This window comes from Homo sapiens, chromosome 11, assembly GCF_000001405.40.
Source record: "Homo sapiens chromosome 11, GRCh38.p14 Primary Assembly".
NCBI classification, from domain to species: domain Eukaryota; kingdom Metazoa; phylum Chordata; class Mammalia; order Primates; family Hominidae; genus Homo; species Homo sapiens.
This window is the reverse complement of record NC_000011.10, coordinates 114,042,858-114,059,266: the sequence shown is the minus strand read 5'-3', so window position 1 is coordinate 114,059,266 and position 16,409 is coordinate 114,042,858. Positions and strand designations below refer to the sequence as shown.

Here is a 16,409-nt window from a genome sequence, read left to right as displayed (position 1 = left end):
AGATTTTAATTTGCACTGGATACGGGTTTTGTCCCCCCCTCCCCGCACCCCGGTGCTCAAGCACGCAGTTTTGTCTCCTCTTCCAATGTTTGCCCCAATTCAGTGCGTGTCATCTCGCCTTTAACTTTTTTCTCATGGCTCGGGGCTGCAGTCCCCCTGACATCTGTTTTAAAAGGCCGCTTTCCTAGCCCAAACCCGGCCCTCTCATCCTCCTGGTTACTGCGCGCCTCCCGGCTTGAGCATCCGGATTTCAATAAGTCTCCCGAGGCAGAGTTCGCGGGCGCTAGTGAACCAGGTGCCAGAAGGTCCGCGGGGATCTATTGTCGAAGCGAGACACCCGTTTTTAGCTGTCGCGATTGCTGGAGGCCAAGGTCGAGTCCTGGGAGAAACTTTTCTCTCTCCCAAACCTTGGACAGCCTCTCGGCTCTGCCCTCATCCTACCCCCCCGCCCCCCAGCAATCTGGGTGGAAACAGTTCCCGAGAACTGCGCCCAGCTCAGTGCACAGTCTTCAGGGGGCAGGGGGAAGCTTGGACAACCTCTGGGCCCCTCAAAAGTGTGTCCTCCTTCAGCTGGCCGCCCTACTTCAGAGGGTAGAGCAGCCAAAGAAAATGTACTCTTCCTCTGACTGCAGAAAGCTGCCCTCTCCCCTTTTCCCTGGAGCTGAGCGAAGGTAGGGTGCCAGAGGCGGGAAGCGCTCTTCGGGCACGGGCTGTGGATTCTGACCGAAGCCCAGGAGGTTGGGGTGGGAGGTGGGGGTGGCCGAGAGCGCCATCCAGGGTTCTCAGGCCAGTCAGCCCTCGAGGTCACGCGGTTTTAGCAATGCGGAGCTTATGTCACCAAGGCCTGAGTCTGCATGTTCTGTCCGTGACTCACGGGTGGGCCAGAGGTTTTCCGCAGGACTCACCTAGAATCACACCTCCATGCGTGCCTCTGGCACTGCCCCAGACCCAGTCCCATGAACTGTAGGGTCATGGAAGGTGGCAGAAATCTGTATCTGTTCGCTGAAGGCCAGGCGGTAGAGTTTACACATCGGAACTGATCCGGGTTCACAAGAGCCGCTCATGAGGCAGCCCCAAAGACGGGTCATTCCATCCCAGCAAGAGCCACTCCTGACTCTTAAGAGCAGGGAAAGCTCAGCCCAGCAGGAGTCTGCGGAGAGAGCTGGGCAGGGGAACACACTTGAGTGAAGGAAGGGCTCCTCTGATAGCACGGGATACAACCACATCAAACCCAGGGCAAGCGGAGGGGAAGCCCAGTCCCTGGGTATTCATTTCATTAACAATAAAGAGCAATCCCATTTAGAGACTACCTGTTTTTCTAACTAAGGTCTATACACCCTGTTAGAGGAAAGGGATTTAAAGAAAGTTAGGAAAGAACTGGGCTGCAAGGAGAGCAAGAGTGGAGGGATGTAAGGAGAGGAGAAAAGACCCTCCTGGTGCCTCACCAGGGAAACAGAAGAAAGAATCACTACACTTGTTGAGCTTCTGCCTAGATAGTGCCTGCTGGAGGTTTCCGCTTTGCTGTCCACATCCACCTACCAGCCTCTCCTCAGTGCAGTAGCAGGAGAAGCACACAATTAACCCCTGATCCTAATCTCCTATTAATCCTCAAATCAGAGAAAGAGAGAATCTCTGGAAACAATGGGAGAGAAAGCACAATCCTCTATGGCCCTGGCCTCCCCACCCCCGTGCCATATTCACTCTATGTGAAAATCTCCCTTGCTTCATAAACGCTGCCCATTAAAAGCCCAGCCCTTGTTAGTAAGTGTTAAAGAGAGATTAATGCCTGAATTTAAGAGGTGGAGAAGGTAACAAAAAGGAAGAAGGCAGGCGAGGCTGTGGGCTGAATGCCAGCATTGGGCTCCAAGCATTTCCACTTAGCGCTGAAGGCTGGCTGCACAGCAGTTTGATAAGGTTTATTGGGCCCAGATAAAGCAGCAGCAGCTCCCCCACCAAAACTGGCACCATTTATAGCCAGAGCTATGTCCTTGGGTCCTGGGAAGGCTGATGAGAATCCTCAGTTCAGAGATTTCATATGGCAGCACCTAAAAACAAGCAGGATGGAAAATTACAAGAGAATACTCAATCTCTCTCGCGCGCACATGCCCGCTCTCTTTCTGTCTCTCTCATGTTCGTGTATTTAGAGTGATTTTTCTTTTACATTTTTTCTTGAAGCGTCTTTTAAGGGAAACCTGGGTATCAGTTCTAAAAATACAGGAGATCTCAATCTTAGGGGGAGATCATGCTAGAGACAGAGGAATAGATGAGCTGGCCTTTGCATGGAATTCCATTGCTAAATCTTACTCCCTCATCTCCCTCTTTACCCATGTACCTCCCACCACTGGCAGCCTTTCAGAGCTCAGTTAGTGGAACAGGAGGGTATAGCAGTTCTAAGAGATCATACAGGAAGGAGACAGCGAAAATAATAACTCATTCTGAGCACTGACTACGAAACTCAACACATTACCTATGTTGTTTTATTTAATCCACATAACAATCCTATTAATGCAGGTGCTATTATTTTCCCAATTTCTGTGGACATGAAAACTGAGGTTCAGAGAGATTAAGTGCCTTACTGCAGACTGTAGATCTATTAAACATCAGAGCTGAAACTTTAAATCAGACCATTCTGACTGCAAAGCTCATGCTCTTAACTTCTAGATTATGTAGCCTCTAGTGAAATAGATGAAGGAAGCAAGGGCTTTTAATTTTCCTTCTTCTCTTACTCTGCTGAGGCCAAGATCTGTGCAGCAGCCAGCCAAGCTGAGGACCAAATGGTTCTCAGCTTGGTCACCAGGTAAAGAGACTTAGATCCCCCAGGATCTTACACTTTTCCTCCTCCCTCAGAATCTCAGGCAGAAATTGGGGAGGGGGCTTTGAATTACAAAAAAAAACTTCAACTAAAGAGATAGGAAGAAGAATACAGTGGTGTTTTGAGTATCTGAGTATGAATGGAATGTTGCAACTCTTTAAGTTCCAACTCTTAATTTGGAACATATATTTAATTTTTTTATTTCAAAGTAAACTTTTCTATCGTGATTAAAAAAATCAAAGATCCCTACCTTTTGGGGAGAAGATGCCACTTTGCATTTCCCCAAAAACTTGTGATGAGTGGAAAATGAAGCATGTTCAGGGAGAGATGCAGGTAGTGACGCCCCTGAGTAGAGGAAAAGTATTCTCTGCAGTTGAGAACTCCAGATTGCCACTGGGGAACGTACCAGGGCATCAGACCTTTACCCTGCCAGGGACTGTTAGGGGAAGACACCGCAAGCCTATTGTGTCCATTTCTGGAGTCAAAAAATCTTACAGTCTTACAGTCCTTCAGATCATCATTCCAGACATCTACTATAGAGCTGTAGGTGATGTCAACAATTGGGCAGAGTAGGCTGGGCGCAGTGGCTCATGCCTGTACTCCCAGCACTTTAGGAGGCCGAGGCAGGCGGATCACTTGAGGTCAGGAGTTTGAGACCAGCCTGGCCAACATGGTGAAACCCTATCTCTACTAAAAATACAAAAATTAGCCAGGCGTGGTGGCACGTGCCTGTAATACCAGCTACTTAGGGGGCTGAGGCGGGAGAATCGCTTGAACCTGGGAGGTGGTGGCTGCAGTGAGCTGAGATTGCACCACTGCCCTCCAGCCTGGGTGACAGAACAAGATCTCATTTCAAAAAAAAAAAAAAATTAGGCAGAGTGGAATTTACTCCTGCATATGTTGACATTTTGTTTTTGTTTTTAAATTTTAATTCTTTTACATTATGTCCTTAGATGCCCCCTCCAAAAAGCAGAGGGGGAAAGAATCAGGTGATGTATGCATTCCGGTTAGTTGAGGCTCAGCAAACCAAATAAGACAGCTTCTTTGATTAGTGATTGCCATCATCCCTCATCCCCCACCCCACCACTACCACCACCATCACCGCCCCAACCAACAGAGACCTGGTTAGTGGTGTTTACAAACTTGAGTTTCTCTCCCAGGTGCCAAGTATGCCCTTCCCTCATCTGTAGAGTAGAGAGTGACTTTTCAAAAGGGTAGGAGGAGGGATTTTTTTTTTTTAGCTCCTGAGGCCTTGGGTCACTGTGACCCCAAGATCTTCGTGATTAAGGAAGAAAAAGCTTTTTCTTCTCTCTCTGTCTCTTTCCCCAGCATATTGCAAATGGTGTTGGGACCTAATGTTGTCAACTCAGATAGCAAATCTGAGTTGTTATTAGTGCAAAGATGCCCTAAGGGGGTAGGCACTGAGGATGAGATCTGCAACGAATGTTATGGGGAAGTGTGTTTATAATTATAATGGGATTTAATGTACACTGGGACCAGATGATGGCAGCCATTTAAAAAAGAGATGCTTAATAAGAGAGGTCCCTTAATGACAGGCAGCAGGGCTCAGGATATTATGGAAGAAGCACGGTGTTTCACTGGGTGTCACAAACCATGTGCCAGGTTTTATGGGGTTCCTAACAAAGCTTTGGGATGAAGCATAGCAACCATTGACCGCTGTCAGCTATCGGGCATGATATTTGAATATTGTCTTTGAGAGGGGCATACGCACTTAGAGGAAGGCATTTTCTCCCTTTCAGATACACATACTCACCTAAGCACGGACACACAGGCTCTAGGCCAACATTGAATAGTTTTTGGTGTTTCTGGGAATCTGCTTTGTTCTGCAAAAGCTAGCCTCAATTTCAAAACTAAAATTTCATCACTAGGGAAGGGTGCATTTTCCATATCGTGTGCATGAAATGAAGCAGCATGAGTCCTATTATGGGTAATAGGAGTCCCACAGATGAATCCCCAGACACCATGCTGAAAATTAACCCCAAGTCCTCATGGGGAGACATGGGCTTTTTTAACAGTTTGCTGTTTCTTTGTTGGGGGGCCAGGAAGAGGGGATAGGTAACAGTTTCTTATGCTGTTTAATAGCGGACTGCTTAACTTTTGAGTTAACATTATGGATTTCAATCCACGGCAGCTATTTTATAACAGGAGTGTTATAGTAATGGACAAAGCCATGCAAAAGGAAAACCATGCTCCTTAGAGGTGCCACCATAGTCCAGAAATACAACTCCACGTCCTCTACCAAGTTTATTATTTTTTTTTCTCTCTCTCTCTCCTGATGTGAAAGAAGCATATGAAAACCTCATTCATCGAATACAGGCCTCAACCATAGTTACTGTGTTGGCTGTTCACAAAACATGATATTGCCAGACTTAGGGTCCTTAAAGCAGAATATTCCATTTATCCTGACAGGGAGAAAACGCAAGGGGTAAGCAAACACTCACCTTCCAGTCACGTACTCTCAGACACTGAGTTTCTGGAGAAGCCTCTTTTCAAATAGCAGTGGTATGTCAGGGGCACACAAGCCATAAGAAGAAACTATTTTACTTGATAACAGGTAATTTATGCCAATCATATTAAAATTATAGCAAGACAAATGCTCGTATCTTGTGGAGTGGAATTGCAAATTTGTGTGGATTTGTAAGATGAAATGAAAGACGTCTTTGGAGTTCTCCCTTGAGAAAAGCTCAGTGCCTTTCCCTGAAAGGACTGAGTGAGTGGAAGACCGGGAGATGCCTGTGAGCCAAGGCTGTGGTGGGCTTTGAGCCAGACACTTTGACTCTGCCTCCCTTGCCAGGCCAGGTTCATTTGTCTCTTCTGGAAGTCATTGCTGGATCTTGGATGTAATCTTCTCCACCCACCCTTGAGTCAGATTTAATTTCTCCCATTCTCCATAAGCCCCTTAGCACTATCTGAACATTTATCATAGTATTTACCACCATCTGCCTTATATCTGACTGAGTCATGTGCATTCTGACCACCCACTCCTTTGTGAGTTTCTGGAAGGCAAGGCCTCAGTCTTGTTCAATTTAGTATTTCCACTCCCAAGCCCCAGAGCCTAGCACACTGTCAAACAGAGTAGATGTAAATGTTTGTCGATGAACTAACTGAAAGCATGCATGCATGAATGAATGAATGAACATAGAGACCAAATATTTTAGGAATTAGGGAGAGAGGGGACCATTCTGTATTCAAACATTTAGGGCAGAATTCTTTGTGCTATGAGGTTTTCACCAACCTTTGAAAGATGAATGGGATATGGATAAGGGTTGAGGATATCTGTGAATTTAATTGTATACAGCTAATTGAGAGTATAACTGGGCTGTTTCAGTTGATGTCTTCCCCAGTGGCCTAGAACCAAGCTTTTCTCAATATCCTAGAAGTTTTAATAAATATTTATTAAATTGTCTGGGCATGGTGGCTTACGCCTGTAATCCCAGCATTTTGGGAGGCTGAGGCGGGAGAATCACGTGAGTCCAGGACTTGGACAGCAGCCTGGGTAACATAGTGAGACCTCCTGTCTACAAAAAAATAAAAAATAAATGAGCTGAACATGGTGGCATGCACCTGTAGTCCCAGCTACTTGGGAAGCTGAGGAGGGAGAATTGCTTGAGCCCAGGAGGCTGCAGTGAGCCGTAATGGCGCCACTGCTCTCCAGGGTTGGCAACAGCATGACAGCCCGTCTCAAAAAAAAAAAAAAAACCTGCATTGAATTGAAGTGAAATGAATTTGTTTGAATCACATTGCTTATCACTCTCACAATGGCCTTGTCATCCCAGTCCGAAGTAGCTAACCAGTTCAGGGCAAAGAGGAGAGCATCTGACCCCTCCTAGGGACCCCAGCGGATATAGGACTGCTGACTGAATCCAGCACTAGCATATGAGACACGCATTAGGCACGAGTACTGACAGATTCACTCTGCTGTTACCAGGTGTGGCAGAGACTGGCTAGCTGTTCCCCAAACTTCTTCCTGGGCACACCTACATTTTTCTGGCTTAACTTGCAGTTAGGTGCAGGCCATGTGATTGAGTTCTGGCCAATAGATTGTGAGCAGAAATCCTCTGTGCCGCTTCCAGGACTGGCCCATAAAAACTCCCAAGTGGAACTCCACATTCCCTTTTCTTTCCTGTGACTTGACCCCATGAGCATAGAGCTATCTTAGAAGCTGAGCAATGAAAGACGTCAGGGCCAGGATGGACAGAACCCAGAGCCCTGAATTACGCTTAGAGAAGAGCTGCCTGCCTACTAAAAAACATCTATTTTGGACTTTATATAAATAAGAAATAAACTTTTGATGTCTTCCATAGGGCTGCCAAATAAAATAAATTAATGAAAATGTTAAATTTGAATATCAGATAAACAATGAATAACTTTTTAGTATGTCTCAAATATTGCATGGGACATAATTATACTAAAAAAATTGTTTATCTGAAATTCAAATTTCAATTGTTTTTTGTTTGTTTTTATTTTCCTAAATCTGGCAACCCTAGCTTTTAGCTATTATATATTTTTCAGCTTATTGTAGTAGCTAGCATTACCTTAATTAATACACCTTGGTTTCATTTGTCAGAAGCAGCAAGGATATAACACCTGAGCTGGGATTTCACCTGGGACAAGGAGAGGCCTCCAGATCCACTTGACCACGAGGAAGTGATGCATGGGGCATCCTGTGTGGACAGGACCAAAGGGCAAATGAGGAAAGATCCTGACAGTTTCCAGTTTACCCGTTCTCCTACGAGCCTCTTTTTCCTTAGCAGCCTCTTCTACCTGACTGGGTTTCTATGGGTGCAAGGATGGGGGCAGAAAGGAAGGCATCATAATGTGGACCTATTCAAGACCTTGGTCAAGCCAGTGATCTTCCCATCTTCCGCTTCCTCCTTTGTACCGTAAATACTTTATGCTCCTTTGTAGCATAAAGGCTGAGAGCTTGGGCTTTGATTTAATCAGGTGGGTCTATATTCAATACGTCCACCACATTGGTCCTGGGTGGTCTCAGGAAAATTACTTAAGCTCTCTGATTTGCAGTGTGCTCGCCTGTAAACTGAGGACAATTAGAGTATCCACCTCACTAAAGTTTCTGTGAGAATGCTCAAGGAGTGCCTGGCCCACAGTAAAAGATCTGAAAACGTCAGGTAATATTAGTGTTGTCAGGTAATCTCTTTCTTTCTACCCTCCTCCTCCAAAATAACATTATAAATATTTGGAGTAAGGCATTGTAATTAATTTTATTTTTGTTTTGTTTTGCTTTGTTTTTTGAGATGGAGTGTCGCTCTGTTGCCCAGGCTGGAGTACAGTGGTGTGATCTCAGCTTACTGCAACCTCCGCCTCCCAGGTTCAAGAGGTTCTCCTGCCTCAGCCTCCCGAGTAGCTGAGATTACAGGCACCCACCACTATGCCCAGCTAATTTTTGTATTTTTAGTAGAGATGGGGTTTTGCCATTTTAAAGAGGCTGGTCTTGAACTCCTGACCTCAGGTGATCCATCCACCTTGGCCTCCCAAAGTGCTGGGACTACAGGCGTGAGCCACCGTGCCCGGCCAATTTTAAATCTCTTTAAAAGAATGAAGCATGACCTGTGTTTCTTGGCTTCTAATTGCAGCTGAGCGCAGCTGTTTGTGGTCCTGTTCTCCCAGGCTCGTCTCGTTCATTCTGTTGGGAGTGAGGTGAGCAGGCAAATGGAGAGCGAGGCAGGGTGTGCAGGGGGTGGTGGTAATTTTCACCTCGTAGCATGACATGTTTATTAGTGTGTACGTACGTTAAGCGCAGCAGCCTGGTTTCCTTGAGTTAAATAGCAGTCATGCCCAACTGGCTCTCCATGTACCATTACTCCAAGTGATTGAGCCAATTTCTCCCTCTGCCATGAGTTTAAGTTGTAAACCTCTCAGCCAGACAGGGAGGCAATGATGGGCTGCCTGTTGTGATTATTATTAACCTTTAGCATTACACTTACAAGACCAGGGGGGTCTGTAGAGACGCCCAGGGTGACGCAGGCACAGACTACAGGCTCCCATCTACCCACCTCGGTTCAGCCTGCATCTCTTCTCGACAAGAAAGGCAAGCATGTGAGTGTTCACTTTGGCCATGCTGGGAGGCTCCAGCCTACCAATCTGGGGTGAGAGATGGCTTGTGCTGGGTGAATAGAGAAATGTTGGGTGTGCTCTGTTCCATTTGGGCAGAGGAAAAGAAAACACATGGCAGGAAAGCTGGAAAAGAGATTTCTTTCTTTCTTTTTTTTTTTTTTTCTTTTTTTGCCCAGGCTGGAGTGCAATGGCACGATCTCAGCTCACTGCAACCTCCACCTCCCGGGTTCAAGCGATTCTCCTGCCTCAGCCTCCGGAGTAGCTGGGATTACAGGCATCCACCACCACGCCTAGCTAAGTTTTTGTATTTTTAGTAGAGACAGGGTTTCACTATGTTGGCCAGGCTGATCTCAAACTGCTGACCTCACACAATCCACCCGCCTCGGCCTCCCAAAATGCTGGGATTACAGGCCTGAGCCACCGCACCCGGCTGGAAAAGAGATTTTCTAGGGGTGCCTGCATGTTCAGAAATCATTTGCCAGCCAGAATTTTTTCTCTTTGCCATATATTTGTCAGCCAGCTGCTAAGTTATCCAGGCAAAATTTGCAGGGACAGCAGCTACCCCCTAGCTGTTAGCTGGTTGACCAAGACCACATATATTTAGCATAATTATACCGGGAACTTGGAGTCACAGAGGGCTACACGGAAGGAGGAAGTGTTAAGGAAGCTGTCTATCCCAGATCCACCACTCTCCGTGACTTTCCCCCTTCCAGTCCGTATTTCTTTTATTTTCCTTCAAGGAACCAACCTTCTTCCCTGTTGATTAATCACGAATTGGCAGAGATGGCAGTTCCCTGAATGTGGGCAGCTTGTTTTGCTTTTCTGAACAGTTTGGTCTCTGAAAATCTCTGAGAAGAAAAAAAGTCCACCACCCAGCCCTAGGGTGCTTGTGTTGCTGCTTTGTTAAAAATCCGAGGGTACCTTTGGGCTGGCACTGGGGGAAATCTGCAGTCAAAAAATAATTCTGCCCTCAGGAAGGTTACTGTTTAATAAGCAAGGCTGGAATCAGGAAGGGCAGGTGGTGGGAGGCCTTGTGTTACTGTTGTTTCCCAAAATGAAAGAGGATGGGGGAGGGGGAGGTGTTTGGGAGGACAAGCACCACACAGAGCCTGCCTGGGTCAAAGGTAACAGAGTAACCATTGTCTGGCTGAGCAATTTCCTACAGTCTCTTGGAGGGGCCCCTGCCAGCAGCTTGATAAACTCCGTTGTTTATGTAGAATGAATATTGATTTGATAGGTATAAACAAATTTAAACCATACCTTCCATTTATCTTGGCCATGACATTTATTGAATACTGCTTATGAGGGAATAACCTATGGCTAACACAGGTTGAGGACTCACTCGGTGTCAGGCTCTGGCTCTTGACATGTGTCATCTCCTTTACTTATCCAAATAATCCCATGAGTTGTGGACTGTTGTCAAACCCATTTTACAGCTGAAGAAAATGAGACAGAGAGATAAAGCAGCCTTCCTGAGGCCACAAAGCTAAAGAGCAGCCAGCTCCCACAGACTCCATGCCTGGACTGCTTGTCCTTATACTTCCTCTTTGGATTAATTTCCATTCCTGATGGCAGAGGCATTTGGTCCTGCATCAAGAGAAGGGAAGGAGATGGGGCCGGGCTCATGGCTCACGCCTGTAATCTCAACACTTCAGGAGGCCAAGGCAGGCAGATCACTTGAGCTCCAGAGTTTGAGACTAGCCTGGGCAACATGGCAAAACCCTGTCTCTACAAAAAATATATATATATGTAAATTAGCCAGGCATAGTAGCGCGCCTGTAGTCCCAGCTACTTGGGAGGCTAAGGTGGGAGAATCAGTTGAGCCCAGGAGTTTGAGGTTGCAGTGAGCTACGATCACACCACTGTACTTCAGCCCTCTGTGACTCCAGGTTCCTGGTATAATTAAGCTAAATATACATGGTCCTGGTCAACTAGCTAACAACTAGAGGCTGGCCATTGCCCTGCAAATTTCTGCTGGATAACTTAGCGTCAGGCTGATAAATATATGGCAAAGAGAAAAAAAAAACTCTGGCTGATGAATTATTTCTGAATATGGAGATGCTCCTAGGTCTCTTTTCTGGCTTTCCTGCCATGCCCCTTCCTTTCCCCTACCAAATATAACAGAGGACACCCAACATTTCTCTCTTTGATTTTTTTTTTTTTTTTGACAGAGTCTCACTCTGTCGCCCAGACTGGAGTGCAGTGGCGTGATCTCGGCTCACTGCAGCCTCCACCTCCCAGGTTCAAGTGATTCTTCTTCCTCAGCCGCCCGAGTAGCTGGGACTACAGGCATGCACCACCATCCCTGGCTAATTTTTGTATTTTTAGTGGAGACAGGGTTTCACTATATTGGCCAGACTGATCTCAAACTCCTGACCTCAGGGGATCTGCCTGCCTCAGCCTCCCAAAGAGCTGGGATTACAGGCGTGAACCACCACGCCCAGCCTCTTTTTCTTTCCTCTAGGTTGAGGAGAGGAAATGGGGCGGTGGGTTAATATGAAAAATAGATAGACTGGTAAAGCTGTTATGTTCATTTCTAAATGAGTACTCACCAGGCACTCATGCCTATTCGTATACATTAGGTATAACTAGAAGACAAGGCAGTTCACTTTTCCGTAAGCATGCAAGAGTTTGCCCTCTTCAAAATAGTTGCCCTCTTCAAAATGCCAGATAGACTCTTAGAAGCAAAAGAGACTTGAAATATCAACTAGTCCTAAGGTGAGTGGTGGGACTCGACTCCAGAGGCGGGGCTCAGACACCAGACCAGATTGAGGGCTAGCTAAAACACAGACGGGCAGAAGCAGCTCTCCATAACACAGCCCACCTGTGTGCCATGTCAGTTTACCATTGCCATGGCAATACTTGGGAGTTACTGCCCCTTTCCTTGGCAATGAACTGCTGACCCAAAAGTTACTACCCCTTCCCTGGAAACTTCTGCATAAACCACCCCTAATCTGCATGTAATTAAAAGTAGGTATAAATATGACTGCAAAGCTGCCCTGAGCTGCTGCTCTCTGCCTATGGAGCGGCTCTGGTCTGCAGGAGCAGTCACAGAGCTTAGCACCACTGGAGCTGTAACACGGCTGCTTCAGTACAGCTGTTTTCTTCTACCTCAGCTTGCCCTTGAATTCTTTCCTGGATGAAACCAATGACCCTCATGGGCTAAGCCCCAGGTTGGAGTTCACCTGCCCTGCATCAGTCCAATCTCACCATTTTACAAGAGAGGAAGCAGAACAGAGAGGTGGCACAGCATTCCCAAAGCCATACGGCCAATGAGAGCCAGGACTTGGGACCAGAGCCAGTTTGGGGCCATCATGAGGATGTCATGGAAGCCATTCAGCCATTCTTGGAGATCTTTTGGTATTGCCTTCCAAGTACATAGCATTAATTTTTTTTAAAATCTTCAGTCATGGCATGTCTTGCCCATAGAGGGAAGATTTGATTTTCAAAACTAGCACCAATATCTCAAGAGGGTGGTGAAGCTGGGTAATAAAATTTGAGGTCACAAACAAGGGGGACTAGGGAGCAGTAAAGTTGAAATCCTCCTGTAGCTCATAACCCAGCAATAACAGCAACATAGTGGTAAGAATTCTATTCTCAGGGCCGTGGCTCACGCCTGGAATCTCAGCACTTTGGGAGGCCAAGGGGGGTGGATCACCTGAGGTCAGGAGTTTAAGACCAGCCTGGCCAACATAGTGAAACCCCGTCTCTATTAAAAATACAAAAATTAGACAGGCATGGTGGTGGGCACCTGTAATCCCAGCTACTTGGGAGGCTGAGACAGGAGAATCGCTGGAACCCAGGAGGCAGAGGTTGCAGCAAGTTGAGATCACACCACTCCACTCCACCCTGGACAACAGAGCAAGACTCGATCTAAAAAAAAAAAAGATTTATATTCTCTTTCTCAATGTGTAACGTATATTTTCTCAACATGTAATCTACATTTTGAGATATATTATCGCTATATCTGTTTATATATATATATATACCTATGTGTGTCAACACCCACACAGGTGTGTATAGTCATTCTGACATACTAGTTTAAATGTCAGAATCCTGTTACTTGATAGGTGTGATTTCTACGTGCACAATCCATTAATGTTTTTCTTTGGGGTGAGAGATGATTCCGTGGAGAAGCAATGTGCGGTGTCAAGGTCTAGGCTTTGAAATCATACTAATGTGGGTCTCAAACCCAGATCTATCATTTAATAGCTATGAAAGTTTGGCAGATTTCTTAAGCCTCAGTTTCTTTACCAATATAATGATGATATCTAAGGTCTCTGTAACTTTGAAGAAATTAAGGAACATGGCCAAGATCTCCCATTCATAAGAGACAAAGCTGGAAGTAAACCTAGGTCTATCGGATTCCCAAAGCTGGCCCTTTCCTGGACGCCCCTCTGACTGCACCCCATGCATAGGGAAGCAGAGGGCATTTCCCTGGGAATGAATACTACTATTGGATTGGAGATGAGATGCCGATCCTGCCCAATCTTTTCTTTTTAAAGCTACCACTTTTGCCCTGTGTGAAAGCAGCCAATAGGTTAAGATTACGTATGTTTCTAGTGATATGTATATTAGACTCCAGTAAAAAAAAAAAAAAAAAAAATCCTCTCCCACTCCCTCACCCATGACTAAAAATAAAATGCCAAAAATATTGCCAGGAAGAGAAATTTGGTGAAAAGCAGGAAAGACTAAAAATTGACTACAGTCTACTGCAAAACATGGATTTCTCCAGTTTCTTCGTTCTGTATAAACTCTCAGTCATCAGAAGAGATTTTCTTTCAAGGGAAAGCATTCGAATAAACTACACCAATATTTGACTGTGTAGAAGTTCTTCTCAAAGAAAGACAATATCCAATCTTTCCAGAAAGATGATTTTCCTTAATTGAGTTTACTACCTGCTGAGTGCCTTTAGTAACAAGAAAAAAATCATGGAGGGGTGGTAATTTTTTTTTCTTCCCCAGCATCTTTTTGGAATGTTCTGAAATATTTACTTATTGATTTCCATCAGACAGATTGGAGAGAGCATGGTGAAATGATGAGAACATTAGATTTCCACTCAGAAGGCCTAGATTCAAGGTCAGCTCTGCCAAACACTTCCTGCGTAGCCTTGGGCAAGTCACTTAACCTCTCTGTGCTTCAACATTCTCCTGTGTAAAACTGGAGATATACGGAAAAAGTTTTGACCAGTTTAAAGTACTTGCTCAGTTCTTTGAGAAGAGCTCTAAGAGTAGTCTCTAACTGACTCTGAGCTTCAGCAAGTTAATTCCCCTCCTTGGGTTCCTTGTGGAGAACATGAAGATGTTGAGCTAGTTTTATTACTAAACCTCCTCTACCTAGGAAATTCTCTAATACTCTGTGAACTCTATCAGATACACTGAAATGAGGTGCTGGTAGCTGCGGATGGAGAGATGGTGTGATGTGGGTGTGCTTAAAGAAAGGTCTCTTTATCACAACCTTGCCCCCCGATCCTGAGGGTGCTCAGGAACTGAGAGGACTCCACACACAGGAGCAGAATGAGGAGAGTGAATTCAAGCTGGGCTTCAACTTTAGCAGGGAATGGGAAGGCGCCTCTGCCAATGATGGCTCTCTGTGGCTCTGGAAAGGAAACAACATAGCAGCAGTGAAGCCACAGTCAGGTCATAGAGGAGGGAGTAGGAGAGGAGGGCATGGCACCTGTGGTTATGGAGGCTTTAGCTGTGACCCAAATAAGGTCCATGGTATAGAGGGGGATGATGAAGAACTAGAAAGAGATATAGGTAATGCTACTTTGAATCAGGTCTGCAAACACTGTTCCTCCCTTGTTCAGAGATCATTCCCAAACAGCATATGCCTGACTCAAAACAGATAACATAACGAAAGATGGCTAGTGCCCACCTCAGGGCCTTGGCACTTGCTGCTCCCCCTGACTGTAGCTCTCTCTGCAGCACACAATACTCGTTTCCACTGGCCCTTTTCTCAATATCCGCATCAAACAGCTCTTCCCCGCTGAGAGCCAGAGCACCTCCCTACAGCTGCCCTGTCTGGAGCTGTCTCCCTCTCCTTCAGGCCCTCCTCTGGGTTTGATTGTTTTTATAGCGCTTGTTACTCCCAGAAATGGTTTCCTTTGTGTATATGACCTTGTTTATTTCCTGTCGCCGCCCTTCCTGGAAACTCCCTAGGGCTCCCCTCTAGTTAGTGTAAGCTTCATGAGGGCAGAGGGCTGGACTGTGATTCATTCCGTCATACCCCAAGCTCCAGGACAATGGTTGGCATAAAGAGGCTCGTAATAAATATTTGTTCAAAGAATGAAAGAACAAAACAAGAAATGTGCTATTTTTTTTTCTCCCCAGGAAGACTTTTAAACAAACAGGCAGCATGTTCTTGAGAATGTGGGATTCAGGCCCAAAAAATTAACAGCTGGGGAAATGAAAGGAATATGTCCTTCCATCAGCTCTGAGTAGAGATTCCATTTGTGTGTTATGGTTATTTTCATTGATACTGCTAACCGAAAGAAATAGCCTCATGCATCATTATGTCCCTGCTGTCTGAGGGTGGGTCAGCCAGGAAGAAGGCTGGCTGGGCACAGTGGCTCATGCCTTTAATCCCAACACTTTGGGAGGCCAAGGTGGACAGATTACTTGAGGTCAGGAGTTCGAGACCAGCCTGGCCAACATGGCAAAACACCGTCTCTACTAAAAACACAAAAATTAGCTAGGCATGGTGATACGTGCCTGTTGTCTCAGCTACTTGGAAGGCTGAGGCAGGAGAATCGCGTGAATCCAGGAGCTGGAGGTTGCAGGGAGCCACGATCGTGCCACTGTGCTCCAGCCTGGGTGACAGAGTGAGACTCCGTCTCAAAACAAAAAAAGAAGGCAAAATGAATGATAATGTCTGAAATTTGTGTGGACCTATACCCAGTACTTTTACATAGCAGTAGCTTGTTTTACCACTTTGTAAAGTATAGAGCTAAGACCTGGATCCAGGTCCACCAGCAACATCAGCACTCTTGCCTTTGCATTTAAACATAGTACAAATGAACACAGGCGGCCGGGTGTGGTGGCTCACATCTATAATCCCAGCACTTTGGGAGGCCAAGGCGGGAGGGTCACGTGAGGTCAGGAGTTCGAGACCAGCCTGGCCAACATGGTGAAACCCCGTCTCTACCAAAAATACAAAAATTAGCCAGGCGTGGGGCAGGCTGCCTGTAATCTCAGCTACTTGGGAGGCTGAGGCAGAATTGCTTGAACCCAGGAGGTGGAGGTTGCAATGAGCCGAGATCGTGCCACTGCACTCCAGCCTGGGCAACAACAGCGAAACTTCATCTCAAAAAAAAAAAAAAAAATTAACACAGGCTTCCTGGCTCCCCATGGAGAGGTCAAAACCGGAGCCCCTGTAGATGGGGCAGGTGATGAGAAGCTTGCGAGCAAGGCCCAGGACTAGGGTGAGGCAAGTGAGGCAGCTAGGATGCAAAATTCAAAAGGTATCACTCTCGGAGCACTTGCGTGATTCTAAGTGTGAT

At 46.0% G+C, this 16,409-nt stretch overlaps 1 annotated feature.

Annotated features, from left to right (window-relative positions):
• Positions 15,006-15,300: an enhancer, noted in NCBI's record as "tiled region #6346; HepG2 Activating non-DNase unmatched - State 21:Repr". NCBI's record gives its function as "activates a minimal TATA promoter and a strong SV40 promoter by Sharpr-MPRA in HepG2 cells {active_cell/tissue: HepG2}" and the evidence as "EXISTENCE:reporter gene assay evidence [ECO:0000049][PMID:27701403]".